Source organism: Homo sapiens, chromosome 7 (genome assembly GCF_000001405.40).
Source record: "Homo sapiens chromosome 7, GRCh38.p14 Primary Assembly".
Taxonomy (NCBI): Eukaryota; Metazoa; Chordata; class Mammalia; order Primates; family Hominidae; genus Homo; species Homo sapiens.
The window spans coordinates 151174401-151188983 of NC_000007.14; the positions used below are offsets into that span (position 1 = coordinate 151174401).

A 14583-nucleotide genomic window follows, 5' to 3' on the forward strand; every position below is an offset into this window, starting at 1 on the left:
GGGACCCCCACCCGAGCCGCGGTCTCCACGGGGCGCCCCGCAGGCCCTCGACAGGAGTGGGCCTCGCGCACCAGGTTCCCGCCCATGTCTTGGGGCAGCCGCTTCCTGCCCGCGAGGTGGGGCCTGTGCGGTCGGGGTCCGCCTGGGGTTTCCACAGCGAGGAGCCTCCACCGCTTGCCCACCCGCACCCGCGTCCCAGAGCCGCGCCCTAGTACCTGAAGCCAGACAGACCGGTCAGCCCAAGGTCCGTGAGGCCAGGGTGGGAATCCGGGCCCCCTCACTTCCTCTCCGCTTCTCCTCAGCCGCCTCTCAACGCCTAACCCGGCTTCGGGCTCTGGTCCGCGCGGCCTAAAGCCTCGCGACCTCCAGGCCTCGCCCCCTGCCGCCTCGCGCCCTCCAGGCCCCAACCCCTGTCCCTTCGCGCCCTCCTGGCCCCGCCCTTCGTCGCCTCGCTAGTGCCGGTTGGCGGGAAAGTCGCGAGCTCCAGCGCTTGCGCACTCCGCCGCCTGGGGGAACTCTGTCCAGCGACCCTTGACGTCAGGGATCACGGTGCACTTGATTGGCTGCTCTGTCCCGACCACCTGCCCTTCGCCTGTGGTTGCAGGCAGCTCCCGACTGCTGGGGCCTCTGGCAGGTTCTGAAAATCCTGATACTGCAATGACCCTCAGGGACTCTCCTCCCTCTCTTTTTACAGATGCAGAAACGTGATCCCAGAGAGGGAAGAGACTTACGTTCCACAAGTTAATGGCAGAGTTAAGACCAGAACCTGTGTCATGGAACTTTCAACTCAGCGCTCTTGCGGCCAGAGCTAAATTTAAGGAAGGAGCAGATAAAAGAGGCAGGAACCAGGCATGCTTCTGGTGCTCCCTGACCTACCGTGTCAGGCAATAGGCAGAACTGGTTCTGTTTTTCTAAACCTGGGCCTTTCGCTGTCACCTGAGCCATGGTTACCCTCTGCGATCGGCCACCCCACATGCCCCTCCTTCCGGGTGGCTCTCCTGCCTCCTCACCTTCCTACCCCAAGGGTTCCTGTGCCTTCCTGCCCAACTCTCTGCACTGCCTCCATGTGCACCCTGCACCTCCTTTAGGCCTTTTCAAACGCGTTCTCACCTGGCGGTCATTCTGTCATTTCATGGAGCTGGCAAGCCTGGGACCCCTTAGCAGCCGGCTGATGCCAAAGGGGAAGGTGATTCAGCTGGAACCGTGGGGCAGGCAGGGAGCCCCTGTCAGTCCGCCCATCCCGACTCCCCTGCAAGGGAGCCAGTTCAGAGGAAGGTCTGTTGGAGACAGCACCAAACACAGACCTGGAGATTTTTAATGCACATACAGGGTTTGCACAGGCTAGAAGGGGGCCTCAGGAGAGCCCCAGTAGGAGTGTGTCTTCATCAGACATCACCCGGCTGCCGCTGTCGGTCCGCTTCTCTGCATTGGGAATTGCAGCATCCACACCTGCCTGCGGAGCTGGGCCTCCTGCTGCCAGGGCTACCTGGCCTGAGTTAGTGCAGAGGCGCGCCCTCTGCAGGCTGGGGCATCTGCTTTCAGGCCCTCTCAAAAGGCCATGGACATCTGGAAGGAGAGGTTTGGATTCAGAGGCTTCTGGTGGTTCGGGGACGGGCCGGTTCTGGCTAGGGCCCTCCCCAACCCTTCTCTTGCCTTCCACACATCCCTGGACCCCAAGCAGCTGTGACTGCTCACAGATCCCGGGGCTCACCTAGTAGAGCACGCCCTCAAAATCCAGCTGCAGGTAGCGGAGCAGGCGCGGTGGCAGGGGGAGGCGGGGCAGCGCTTGGGGCAGGCTGCCCTCCAGGTGGGAGCGGAGCGCACAGCGGCTCAAATGCTGCAGCGACCTGGGCTGCCTCACCAAGGCGAAGAGGGAGGAGTAGAAACGCTGATGTTTCTGGGGGCAGAACAAGGGGCTCAGTGAGAGGCAGCCTCAGACAGGTAGCACCGGCTCCTCCTCACAGGGTAGGCTGGTGAGGGGTGGGGCATCTACCGGAAGGAACCTATTAGAAACAATGAATGTTTGAGTGTTCACTCTGCAAGTTCTCTCTTCTGGGACATGAGTGCATCTTTGGGTACTTTCTATGGGGGGCTGCGGTTTAGCGGGTGGGAGTCTTGGGACCAGGATGAGAAGCTCTATGTTCAGGGCCTTGGAATCTGACCTGCAGAGTTTCAGGAGTCACCAGGCCGACGGCCTCCTCGGGAAGCTGCACAACACTGTAGGTGTTCATCAGGACCTCGATGGTCCGAGGGCACGTGCTCCAGCGCTCCAGCACCTGTGGGAGGCAGAGGCATGTTGGGTCCTCAGTCAGTCCACACAGTGACCAGACAGCTCCAGAATAGTTGTTGTGGGTTGAACTTTGTTCCCCAAAAGATATATTGAAGACCTATCCCCCTGTACCTATGAATGGGACCTTATTTGGAAATAGGGTCTTTGCAAATGTTAATCAGGTTAAAATGTGGTCATTAGGGTGGGCCCTATTCAATATGACTGGTGTTCTTATAAGAAGAGAAAACAGAGGCACAGACACGGACACAGAAAAGAAGGCCACGTGATGACAAAGGCAGACAGTGGAGTGGAGTGACACATGTACAAGTCAAAGGACACCAAGGATTGTGGGAAACCACTGGAAGCTACAAGAGCACCATGGAACAGATTCTCCCTCAGAAGCTCCAGAAGGAGCCAGCCCTGCCCACATATGCATTTCAAACTTCCAGCCTCCACTGCTGTAAGGGAACTCCATTTCTGTTGCTTTAAGCTACCCACTTTGTGGTACTTCATTTGATCCAGGAAGCCAATACAGCAGCTAACCTTTCTATTGTGCATAACTCAGGCCAGATGATTTCTAGCACTTGACATGTATGAACTCTTCACTGTTGTCCCTGCAAGGGATGGACTGTTAATATCCCATGTTATTATCCCATTTCCTTCATTACAGCCAAGGGAAACTGAGGTACAGAGAAGTTAATTAACTTGCCCAAGTTGTGGTTCCCACAGTCCAGGCCTGGAAGCGTGACCCCTTGCCCTTAACCACACCACCATCCTGCTCTCCTCTCTGCCTCTACAAGGTTCTGGGCTGGGTTTTCTGCTGGCTGGAAGGGGTCCCTGACCTGTGGCTGGAGCTCCTGAGCAGATAAAAAGATCACAGAATCCATCCAATGCCAAGTGAGGGTAGAGACAGCTACAAGAGGGGGCCAGGGAGTGGGGTGGGGCTGGGTGGGGGACTCACAGAGGGAGGACTGGGCTCTGGAGGCAAGGGAACCCCAGAGCCTGGAGGGTATTCAGGGAGAAGGGACAAGGCAACCTGAGGCTGATGGACTGCCTGCAGGAGCAGGAGAGGATTTGGTAGGAGCAGGGGTGGAACCTAGTTGGAGCCAGATATATGCTTTCATTGGTTCATTCAGCAACTATTTATTGAGGGCCTACTATGTGCCAAGCACTTCGAATCCAGCAGTGGGGAAAATAAAGTCCTCGTCATCCAAGAGCTTCTATTTCAGAGGGAAAACATAATAAACACAGAAGTCATCACTCACAGATCTGCTGCTGCAATGAAAAATAAGAAGGAGCCGGGCGTGGCGGCTCATGCCTGTAATCCCAGCGCTTTGGGAGGCCGAGGTGGGTGGATCACTTGAGGTCAGCAGTTTGAGACCAGCCTGGCCAACATGGTGAAACCCTGTCTCTACTAAAAATACAAAAATTAGCCGGGCGGTAGTGGCATGCACCTTTAATCCCAGCTATTTGGGAGGCTAAGGCAAGAGAATCTCTTGAGCCTGGGAGGCAGAGGTTGCAGTGAGCCGGGATCGTGCCACGGCACGTGTGGGCGACAGAATGAGACCCTGTCTCAAAAGAGAAAAAAAAAAGTAGGGTCAGGGGACTGAGCATGGTTGGGGAGGGCACTGTCCTAGACGGAGTGGCCAAGAAAGGTCTCTGAGGTGGTGGTCCAGTGCAGCAAGCGGGCAAGCCACGCAGTGGAGCAGCCTGTGGACAGACCGTCCACGTGGTCAGAAAAGTGGCCTGACAGACACTGGCACTAAGACACCCGCTTGTGCCTGAACTCAGTACCTAAAGCAGATTTGTGCCTCCTCCACTGCACTCCACTCTCGCTGCATCTATGCAGGCGATGGCCACAGAGCCTTTTGAGATCTGAAAACAGCTAAGTATTGTCTTTCAGGCAGCATCTCACACACAACCCACATGTGGCCAAACACAATTGCATCTAGCGGTGGGGGTTTAACAGACTCTGTCTGCAAGGAGAGGAGACCCTTCTGTCTGTCAGACGAGAGTACCAATGAGCAGTGGGAGCAGAAGGCCTGGCCTTCCAGGGGTCCCTGGAGAAAGCATTTTACACACCTGGGGCCTCTGCTTCTAGCCCTGCATCTGAGCAGTGCTCATCAGTCTGTCCCGGGAGGCCTCTTTTCCTCACTCCTCCTCCAAGCTAGGGAAGAGCAGGCTGGTTCTCTCCAACTCTCCTCTCCACCTGCCCCTCAGGCCCGTCTCTGTCCTTCCTGGCCCATGTTGATCCCCACCTCTGCACTGGGCTCAAGTAGCTCGCTGTGTCTGGAATGCCTGCCTCTTCCTCCTCCTTCCCTTCAAAACTGCCCATCCCAGTCCTGCCTCCTCCAGGAAGCCCATGCAGCTACATCAACCTGCTTCACTCCCATGTCCAATGATACCCTCATTGGGATGATGCCAAGCAGCTTACCAAGTGCTTTCTCATACATTACATAACAAGAACAACACTAGCTAACAAGTGTTAAGCACTAGGCTTGATGTGTATTAACTCTTCTCACAGTAACCCTATGAAGAAGGCATAGTATCATATCCCTATGTTACAGATGACAAAACTGAGGCCTAGGGAGATTCAGCGACTTGCCGAAGGCCACACAGGTAGTGTGTCTGGCTCCAGAGCCTACACTCCTAGTCACCACTGAACTCAGAAGTTGCTGGGAGGACTGAGGAACTCCTGTAACAGGAAATACAGCTTAGAGCAGTGCCTGGTGTGTAGTCAAGGCTGTGCTTGCTCCGACTGTTCCCCAGTGCTCTCCTACAGCTTTCCATCCTGTTAGGGAGAGGCTGTATCACATGCAGTGACTTGCCTACACCCATACGAACAAGCATCAAAGTCACATCCTGGATCCAGGTCCCCTGAGCACCAAGTCTAAAGTGGTGGCTCCTAGAGAACCAGCTGGGGCTGGCATTTCATCACAGATGGGCGGTGGAGGCTTCTGTGCAGGGAGGACAGAAACCCCTCAGCTGGCAGGGCTGCAGATCATGGAAAGGGACAAATGGGGTACTTTGCTCTGCCAGCCCCTTTGGTCCCAGAGACAGGCTGAGAGGTGGAGCAGGGCTGTGGGGACCCAGGAAACCCTTTCGCTGCGCCGGGCCCTCCTCCCGCCCCTGCCTGCCAGGGAAATCATTAGCTGTCAGAGCTGCCGTCAGATTACAGGGAATTGCTTGTCTCCTAATTATCTAGTGTTAATAGGAGATTAATTAGTGTTAATTGTTGATTTTCTTGTATTTTCCCAAAGGGGAGACCAATCTGCCGAACTCTTGGGCTGTTTAATTATTTGGTCTTGCTTAGGAATCCAGACAGATGCTTCTAGGTTTGTGAGCAAAGGGGAGAGGCTGGGATAGCAGGGGTGGTCCCAGGACAGGCAAGGCTGGGTGGGACAACACTCTGGGCTGAGCCAGAGGGGAACTGCCTACTCAGAGGGTGGTTTCGGTTCTGAGCCATCTCCTCTGAGAACGGATGTCCCCATCCCAGACCCAGCGCCCTCCATGACATTATCTATGCCCCTCCAGACACGACACAGCATGGGGCAAGGCCCCCTCACAGGGCATCAGTAGCACAGGTCTTCAAGTTGAACCTACTTAGGGGAAATTAAGATAAAGTAGGATATAAATTGAAATTGACAGTGAAAGGCATGTTCACAGGTGCCAGGACAGTGGCAGCTGTTCTGGGGGCTGTGGGTCCTATTAGATTCTCAGAAAGTGGGACCATGTCCATTTACAGACATTCAGGGGACCTTGAGCCTCCTGAAACAGGCTCACCCTCTTCCCTTGGACAGCCTCTCCTGCATCTGTCACTGAACTGATCCCACTGCTAGTGGGAGCTTCCTCAAGTGCTATTTTCATCAGTTTGCTGTGCTGATGAAGACCCTTAAACAACGCCCACCACCCACATCAGCCCTGACTTCTTCTGTCTTTTTGGATCCTTTATCTAATCTGGCCCCACTGCCCCCAGTCCGCCTTTATCACACATGCACAGTATATACATGCACATACATGCATGAACACATGTATACACACGCACACCATGTATACACATGCACACACACATGCACACACACACATTTCCCACTGATCTGTGTCTTCACCTTGACCCCTATTTGGGCTTTGCTTACATGCTGAATGAAAGACAGACAGAAGGAACCAATCTATGTGCACAGGCCACATTCCAAAGCAAACCGGAGCACAGGCCCAGGTCTCCCTGTCCCCTCACCATGGTGGCCCTCCTGCTGCCTGCAGCCCCCATACCTTGGGGAGGGCCCCTGGCCAGACACGGACGGCGCCATGGTTGAGCAGAGCCCGAACCACGTGCTCGGGGCTCTGGGCCAGGGCTGCAGCTGGGCCCTGCAGAGCACAGTGCAGGGGCGTGTGTCCCCCATAGTCCATGGTGTTGGCGCTGACACCACAGGACAGGAGCAGCTCCACGACAGCTGCATGGCCACGGCGGCAGGCCAGGTGCAGGGGTCGCTGCTTGTCCTGGTCCGCAGCATCAGCGTCTGCTCCAGCTGAAAGCAGCAAGCTGCACAGCTGCAGGCAGCGGGCGGTGGTGGCCTCGGCATCGGTGATGGACTGGCAGCGGACGTCACAGGCAGCCAGCAGTGGGGTCCAGCCTTCGGCATTGCGGGCATCAGGACATGCCCCCCGTCTTAGAAGCAGATCTGCCAGCTCCACATGGCCAAGCCGGGCGGCCACATGCAAAGGGGTCTCCTCTTCTTCCTCGGACCGACCATCCACTCTCGCTCCAAACCTGAGGAGCAGCTCCGCACACCTATTGGGGGGAGACGGTGGTGGGGAGGAAAGCGGGCACGGACCCCTGGCAGGAACACACTTGGGTGGCTCTTGGTTCTGTCTCCCCCCACCCACCCTCCATCCTGCCCATCACTGGTCATCCTGGCACCATTCTGCAAGATCAACAGTGCCCTTCTTTTTTTTTTTTTTTTGAGACTGAGTCTTGTTCTACCACCCAGGCGGAAGTGCAGTGGTACAATCTCAGCTCACTGCAACCTCCACCTCCCGGGTTCAAGCGATTCTCCTGCCTCAGCCTCCAGAGTAGCTGGGATTACAGGCTCCCACCACCACGCCCGGCTAGTTTTTTGTGTATTTAGTAGAGATGGGGTTTCACCATGTTTGCCAGGCTGGTCTCAAACTCCTGACCTCAAGTGATCCACCTGCCTCGGCCTCCCAAAGTGCTGGATTATAGGCATGAGCCACTGTGCCTGGCCAACAGTGTCCTTCTTTAAAATCCAAATACTTTTTGTTGGGATAATCCACTAAATCATCCGTGGGAATAAACGTCACCAGCAGTTATCACATGAGTGGTTAGAACAGGCGCCTGCTAAGGGTTTTACGTGTTGTAGCTAATTTCATCCTCACTACATTCCCTTGGTAGGCTCTCTTAAGGCACTCATGCCACAGAGGAGGAAACTGAGGTTTGAGGATCTCATGCAAGTTGACATGGCTAGTAGGGGTAGGGCTGCTATTTGGGTTCAGGGGCAACAGGACTGTTGGGGGATCTGCATGCTGGGACTGGAGGAGGAAGGGGGCGTGGGGCCTGACAGTGGGCACACATGGAAATGGGGCAGTGGGATAAAGAACAAGACTGATTGGCTGGGCATGGTGGCTCATGCCTATAATCCCAGCACTTTGGGAGTCCAAGGCAGGTGGATCACCTGAGGTCAGGAGTTTGAGACCAGCCTGGCAAACACGGTGAACCCCCGTCTCTACTAAAGATACAAAAATTAGCCAGGTGTAGTGGTGGGCCCCTGTAATCCCAGCTACTTGGGAGGCTGAGGCAGGAGAATCGCTTGAACCTGGGAGGTGGAGACTGCAGTGAGCCGAGATCATGCCACTACACTCCAGCTTGGGTGACAGAGTGAGACTCCTTCTCAAAATAGAAAAATAAAAAATAAAAAAGACTGAAATTGGCCAACTGGATTTACTCCAAGATGGCAAGAAGCACAGGGAGTCACAGCAACGTGTGTGCCTCACTTCAGGGCTAACGGGACTTGGCCTCTTTGAGCTCCTGTTCCCTCGTGTGTAGAATGGGGATAATTATAACAGCTCCACCTTCCGAGGTGGTTGTGAGCAGCACGTGAGACGACCCCCAAAAACCTGTCATCGTAAGGGCTCAAAATGACGACACTTGGCAGGGGGAGTGGGAGGTATAGAGGGTGATGGATTGTGGGAGCTCATTTCATTATCCTGTCTGACTTTCTATATCTTTAAAAGTCTCCATAATAATTTTAAAATACATTTGTTTACTCACAAAGGAAGGAAGGATTATCACTGGGTGTGATCTCAGGGAGGCTGGTGGGAACATGGTCAGAACTAAAAATGTGGGATTATGTGGAACCTCACTATCCAGTGGTAGCCACTAGCCACCTGTGGCTATCGAGTTCTTGAAATGTGGCTAATCCTAACTGAGATGCGGTGTGTTATATGCTTGCCTTTTTTTCTTCTTCTTCTTCAGAAACAGAGCTGGCTAGGTGCAGTGGAGAATCACTTTAGCCCAGGAGTTCAAGACTATCCTGGGCAACAAAGTGAGACCCATCTCCACAAAAAATTAGCTGGGAATGGTGGCATGGGCCTGTAGTAGTCCCATCTACTCTGTAGGCTGAGGTGAGAGGATTGTTTGAGCCAAGTAGTTTGAGGCTGCAGTGAGCTATGAACGTACCACTGGACATCCAGACTAGGTGACTGAGAGAGACCCTATCTCTCTCTCTTTTTTTTTCTTTTGAGATAAGGTCTCTCTCTGTCACCCAGGCTGGAATACAGTGGCGTGATCTCCACTCACTGCAACCTCCGCCTCACAGGCTCAAATGATCCTCCTACCTCAGCCTCCTGAGTAGCTGAGATTACAGGTGTGCACCACCATGCCTGGCTAATTTTTGTCTGTTTGCTTGTTTGTTTTTTTGAGACGGAGTTTCCCTCTTTCGCCCAGGCTGGAGTGCAGTGGCACAATCTTGGCTCACTACCACCTCCACCTCCGGGGTTGAAGGGATTCTCCTGCCTCAGCCTCCCGAGTAGCTGGGATTACAGGTGCCCGCCACCATGTCCAGCTAATTTTTGTATTTTTAGTAGAGACAGAGTTTCACCATGTTGGCTAGGCTGGTCTCCAACTCCTGACCTCAGGTGATCCACCCGGCTCGGCCTCCCAAAGTGCTGGGATTACAGGCGTGAGCCACTGCGCCCGGCCTCAATTTTATATTGATTACATGTCAACATGATAACACTTTGGATATGTTGTGTTAAATAAAATATAATTAATTTAACCTGCTTCAAAGATATTTGTACCCACATGTCCACAGGAGGATTACTCCCAATAGCCAAAATGTGGAAGCAACCCAAGTGTCCCTCAACGGGTGAATGAATAAACATTCAATAAAAATGTGCTATACACATATAAAGGAGTGTTATTCAGCCTTAGAAAGGAAGGAAATTCGGCCGGGCGTGGTGGCTCACACCTGTAATCCCAGCACTTTGGGAGGCCGAGGTGGGTGGATCACAAGGTCAGGAGATCGAGACCATCCTGGCTAACACGGTGAAACCCCGTCTCTACTAAAAAATACAAAAAGTAGCCGGGTGCGGTGGTGGGCGCCTGTAGTTCCAGCTACTCGGGAGGCTGAGGCGGGAGAATGGCGTGAACCCGGGAGGCGGAGCTTGCAGTGAGCCGATATCACGCCACTGCACTCCAGCCTGGGCGACAGAGTAAAAAAAAAAAAAAGAAAGGAAGGAAATTCTGAAACATGGGACAACATGGGTGAAGTCTGAAGACATCATGCTAAGTGGAATAAGCCAGTTACAAAAGGACAAATACCACATGATTCCACTTATGTGAGGTCCCCAGAGTGTTCACATTCAGAGACAGAAAGTAACATAGTGATTGCCAGGGGCTTGGGAGACAGGGTGGGGTGGGTGGTTAGTGTTTGATGGGGTTAGAATTTCAGTTTGGGAAGATGAGAAAGTTTGGAGATGGATGGTGGCGATGGTTGAACAACAACATGAATGTGCTTAATGCCATCGAACTGTACGCTTAAAAATGGTTACAAAAGGCCGGGCACGGTGGCTCGTGCCTGGAATCCCAGCACTTTGGGAGGCCGAGGCGGGCAGAACACGAGGTCAGGAGATTGAGACCATCCTGGCTAACACTGTGAAACCGCGTCTCTACTAAAAATACAAAAAATTAGCCAGGCATGGTGGCGGGGGCCTGTAGTCCCAGCTACTCGCGAGGCTGAGGCAGGAGGATGGCGTGAACCCGGGAGGCGGAGCTTGCAGTGAGCCGAGATCGCACCACTGCACTCCAGCCTGGGCGGCAGAGCAAGACTCCGTCTCAAAAAATAAATAAATAAATAAAAAATGGTTACAAAGGCAAATTTCATGTATATTTTACCACCATTTTGAAAATTAATTTTACATATTTGTCTTTTTTTTTTTTTTTTTGTGAGACAAAGTCTCACTTTGTCTCCCAGGCTGGAGTGCAGTGGCGCAATCTAATCTCCGCTCACTGCAACCTCCACCTCCCAGGTTTAAGCAATTCTCCTGCCTCAGCCTCCCGAGTCGCTGGGATTACAGGCGCCTGCCACCACACCCAGCTAATTTTTGTATTTTTAGTAGAGACAAGGTTTGGGCATGTTGGCCAGGCTGGTCTCGAACTCCTGGCCTCAAGCAAGCCACCTGCCTCAGCCTCCCAAAGTGCTGGGATTACAGGTGTGAGCCACCGTGCCCGGCCATTTGTCATTTTTTTTATAGGGCTGCTAGAACACTGTAAATTGCATATATGGCTCACATTAGGTTTCCACTGGGCCACGCTAGTAAAGAACACATCTTCAACCATAGTATGATTAAGCCTGTGGAATCCTCTAGAGGCTGATGAGATTAACAAGAAGGAGAGGGTCCATGAAAGGAGAACCCCAGGGTCAATAATTTGGCACCTTTCAGAGGCAAGAGACAAGACCTGCAGGTGTGCAGTCAGTAGAGAGAGGGCCTCTATAGGATGTAGAGTTAGTTCACAAAATTGTAATTGGGATCCCATCCTACAACGTTCCTTACACTTGGGTTGCAATTATTTATGTCACTGCAAAGGACTATTCCCTACAATAAATGATACATTGGCACATTTGGGTGTATTCATCAGTTTCTTGGGAGTTTAGTTAGTGAGAGTCCCTTGAGCCCATGATCTGAGGGTGCCCTACCAATATGGAGATTCTAGACCTGTCTTGGAAAACCAGACCCTACCCAGAGGGACCCAGGCAGGTCCTCACTGGGGCCACCATCCTCTACTCCCTGTCTGGATCACTGGACAGTAAGCTCCCTGAGGGCAGGGCCTCAGGGACTTAGTTGCTGTTGTGCTTAGCACAGTGCCTGGAACATAGGATAAGCTCAGAAAGTGTTTTCAAAAATTTTAAGCAACACCACCTCCCCATAATGGAGCCAGGCAATTTCCCAATGCGGGCCATGCAACTGCACCCCTGCCACAGCCTCCCTCCACCCCTGGGAGACCAGAAAACTGTCCAAAGTCCAGGCCACTCCAAAGTTCATGGGGTCAACGGGTGGATGGCTTGGGAAGTAATTGCACCCTGACCCGCGCCCCAAGCCTGGACTGCTCTGTCCCAGGTCCCTGACATTTTCCCCCATCCTCCCTGAGAAGGCCTCTTTGCTTCCCTTCAGAGTGGAACTGGGGGTTGGGGTGAGGGGTCACTCACTCAAGGGTGCCAGGCCCCCGGCAGAGATGCAGGGGGCGTTTCCCATCCTGGTCAGCGATGTTGGGGTCGGCTCCTGCCACCAGCAGCACATGAACACAGGCAGTGTGGCCTGCAGCACAGGCCTCGTGCAGGGCGGTGCGGCCCCCAGGGGCACTGTCTGGCCTTGCTCGCCGCCTCAGCAGCAGCCGCAGGACTTCCGTGTGGCCACGGCTGGCTGCCACATGCAGTGGGGTGGTCAGCTCCTCTTCGTATGTCAGAGACCAGAGTCCTAGGGAGGGGAGACGTGGGCCTCAGATCCCCAGGGAAGGCAGAGACCTTCCAGCCAATGGGGTGAGGTGGGCAGAGGCAGGAAGAGGGAGCCCAGAGCTCCATCTGCAGCCTCCCCTCTCTCCCACTGAGAGCCCCCAGTGCCCCGGCCCGTACTCAGAGCACGGATGTTGAAGCGGAAATCCCTCCATCGCTCTGGGTCGCTGGTATCAAAGACGGAATCAGGAGCCAGGCCAGTACTGGAGTCCGCGAGGATGCGGGAGACACAGCCCACGTCCCCAGCCAGCACTGCCTGCCAGAAGGCAAGGGCAGGTCCTGAGGCTGTGCGGGTGACGATGGGTCCCGGGCCAGACTTGAGGTGCTCCTCAGACCCTCTGCTGGGCTTCTCCACCAGCCTGGCACAGAGGGGGTGTCTGTCATCGAGGGGCTCTCCCTGCCCCTTGCACTCTTCTGGAGACCAACTCATGAGCATGTGGGCAGGGAAAGGGGAGTGGGGAGGAGGAGAGGTATATGCCAAAGGCAGAGAGAGAGAGAGAGAGCAGGAGGGAAATACAGACAGACAGAAGGCCCCTGTGTCCCACGCTCCGAGGCTGACCTGGCCACGCATCCAGCAGGAGCTATTCTGGGCTCCACATGACTGTGTTCTTGGGCCAAGGTGTAGGCTATTGGGCAAGCTTTGAGGTCGGGGAGAAACAGCCGGGGGCTTCTCCTTTCACTCAAGCCCTTAGGACCTCTGTGGCCGAGGCAGTCAGCCCAGCCCCCTGGTTCTCAGCAACCCCCAGATGCCCCTCACCCCTCTGGTGGCTGCTCCAGCGAGGCTCTGCGGCCCGGCTCTCCAGCAGCAGGTCGGCTGTGCTGTGCGGGGGGAACAGCTCCTGCAACCTTGCCAGGTCCCCGGTGTAGAGGGCATTCTGCAGGGCCATGTCTTGGCAGAGCAGTGGTGATGGCCGAGGGGGCTCCCAGGCTGGGCGGGAGTGGGGCCTCCAGATCCGGCAGGCCGGGGCGGAGGGAAGGCACCCCAGATGGTGTCCCCAGTGGGGAGAGGAGTTCTTTCCCCAGGGCATGGCTTGTTCTGGGAGAGCCAAAGCAGCACGACTCCCAGCGATGTTGCTGGTGGACTGGGCAGGTGGGTGCTGGGCCCGAGCTGGGTGGGGCCCAGCATGGGAGGCGCAGGGGAGCACAACATCAGGCAAAGCCATAAATAGCCCTGACTGGCCCAGCTGTCAGTCAGGCCGGGTGGGGGAATTAGGGAGGGGCAGGAGAACAAGTGAGGCCTGAGCCCGCCAACCCTGAGCTTCACCCCAGGGCTGTATGACCTCAGGGTGGAAAGGGACCACCCGGACCATGCTGCCCAGTCCGTCATCTCGGCATTAAAGGGAAGTGAATTTCCCAAGATCACGCAGAGAGCTTGTTGCAGAGCCAGGACTGGAACCCAGGGCCTTGAGCTCTTTCTTGTTCACCAAATCGGCCTCCAGCTGCCTGGGCTCTGATCCCACTGGGAAGGCCTGTGGGTGCCAGATAATATTTCCTGCCCTTCCAAATGTCATCTGTTAGCCCTGCACCTTCCCACTCCCAAACCAAGGGAGGAGTTCACAGTAGTGACACAGATTGCCCTCGCTGTGTGAGGCACCCCTCAGGGGGCTCCCTTAGACAGACGTGTGCCTGAGTAACAGAGCGTAACCCACAGGCAAGCCACAGAAACTCCCCATGCTCGTCCTTGATGCCAACCCCCCCATCTCCCTGGATGACCTTGGGTGGCATCTCTCCCCTGCTGTGGTTACATGGGGTCTCTTCACTAGAGAGTGAGAAAGGAGAAATGTCTCTGTGTACTCAGGCACTGACTTTTGTTTGGGGGCCGGGTGGATCAAAAGGAAAAAAAGAGAGAAAGAAGATGAGAAACCAGGCCCTCGGGCTCAGCTCTGACCCACCACTGCCCACCATGGGCTTGAGGTGCTCCAGCCCCATTGGTCTTGCCCCTTTGGCTCACGCTGGCTTAAAAAAATTTTTTTAAATCAATTGCTTTTTAAAAAGTTTCATTTTTAATTGACAAATAATTGTATATATTTATGGGGCTATAATATTTTGATACATGTATATAATGTGTAATCATATCAGGGTAATTATCACATCTATCAAATGATATTTACCATTTATCTGTGGTGAGAACATTTAAAATCCTCTTTTAGCCATTTTGAAATGTACATCATTATTCACTACAGTCGCCTTGCTGTGCAATAGAACACCTGAACTTATCCTATTTACCTGTAACATCATACCCACTGACCAATGTCTTCCCTTTCCCTTTCCCTGTCCACCTCCCTCGAG

General features: G+C 54.2%; 1 protein-coding gene across 3 annotated transcripts, besides 4 other annotated features; it reads right to left on the minus strand.

Moving 5' to 3' along the window:
- Positions 362 to 656: a silencer, noted in NCBI's record as "tiled region #15220; HepG2 Repressive non-DNase unmatched - State 23:Low". NCBI's record gives its function as "weakly represses a minimal TATA promoter and a strong SV40 promoter by Sharpr-MPRA in HepG2 cells {active_cell/tissue: HepG2}" and the evidence as "EXISTENCE:reporter gene assay evidence [ECO:0000049][PMID:27701403]".
- Positions 362 to 656: an enhancer, noted in NCBI's record as "tiled region #15220; K562 Activating non-DNase unmatched - State 10:DNaseD". NCBI's record gives its function as "activates a minimal TATA promoter and a strong SV40 promoter by Sharpr-MPRA in K562 cells {active_cell/tissue: K562}" and the evidence as "EXISTENCE:reporter gene assay evidence [ECO:0000049][PMID:27701403]".
- ASB10 (ankyrin repeat and SOCS box containing 10) lies at positions 1298 to 13392 on the minus strand. 3 transcript variants are annotated; one of them, NM_080871.4, is made up of 6 exons: positions 13052 to 13392; positions 11992 to 12259; positions 6539 to 7058; positions 2163 to 2276; positions 1712 to 1897; positions 1298 to 1566 (listed from the first exon to the last, which is right to left on the minus strand). In NM_080871.4, the coding sequence occupies exons 1-5, from the start codon at positions 13320 to 13322 to the stop codon at positions 1712 to 1714; spliced, it is 1359 nt and encodes a 452-aa protein (NP_543147.2). In that variant the 5' UTR covers positions 13323 to 13392; the 3' UTR covers positions 1298 to 1566. The 3 variants fall into 3 exon arrangements, with proteins under 3 accessions (NP_543147.2, NP_001135931.2, NP_001135932.2); NM_001142459.2 differs by lacking the exon at positions 13052 to 13392 and adding an exon at positions 12415 to 12850; NM_001142460.1 differs by lacking the exons at positions 2163 to 2276; positions 13052 to 13392 and adding an exon at positions 12415 to 12991.
- Positions 3388 to 3588: a silencer, noted in NCBI's record as "peak6845 fragment used in MPRA reporter construct". NCBI's record gives its function as "represses an SCP1 promoter by STARR-seq MPRAs in K562 erythroleukemia cells {active_cell/tissue: K562}" and the evidence as "EXISTENCE:reporter gene assay evidence [ECO:0000049][PMID:32103011]".
- Positions 13848 to 13937: an enhancer, noted in NCBI's record as "active region_26852". NCBI's record gives its function as "activates an Ori minimal core promoter by ATAC-STARR-seq in GM12878 lymphoblastoid cells {active_cell/tissue: GM12878}" and the evidence as "EXISTENCE:reporter gene assay evidence [ECO:0000049][PMID:35858748]".

Coding starts and splice junctions, on each gene's coding strand:
- ASB10 (NM_001142459.2), bottom strand. CDS start 12,730: ATGCTCATGAGTTGGTCTCCAGAAGAGTGCAAGGGGCAGGGAGAGCCC. Junction 7,059..11,991: donor CGGGGGCCTGGCACCCTTGA/GTGAGTGACCCC, acceptor TCCCCCCAATAG/GTGTGCGGAGCTGCTCCTCA. Junction 2,277..6,538: donor GGCCAGGGGCCCTCCCCAAG/GTATGGGGGCTG, acceptor TGCCTCCCACAG/GTGCTGGAGCGCTGGAGCAC.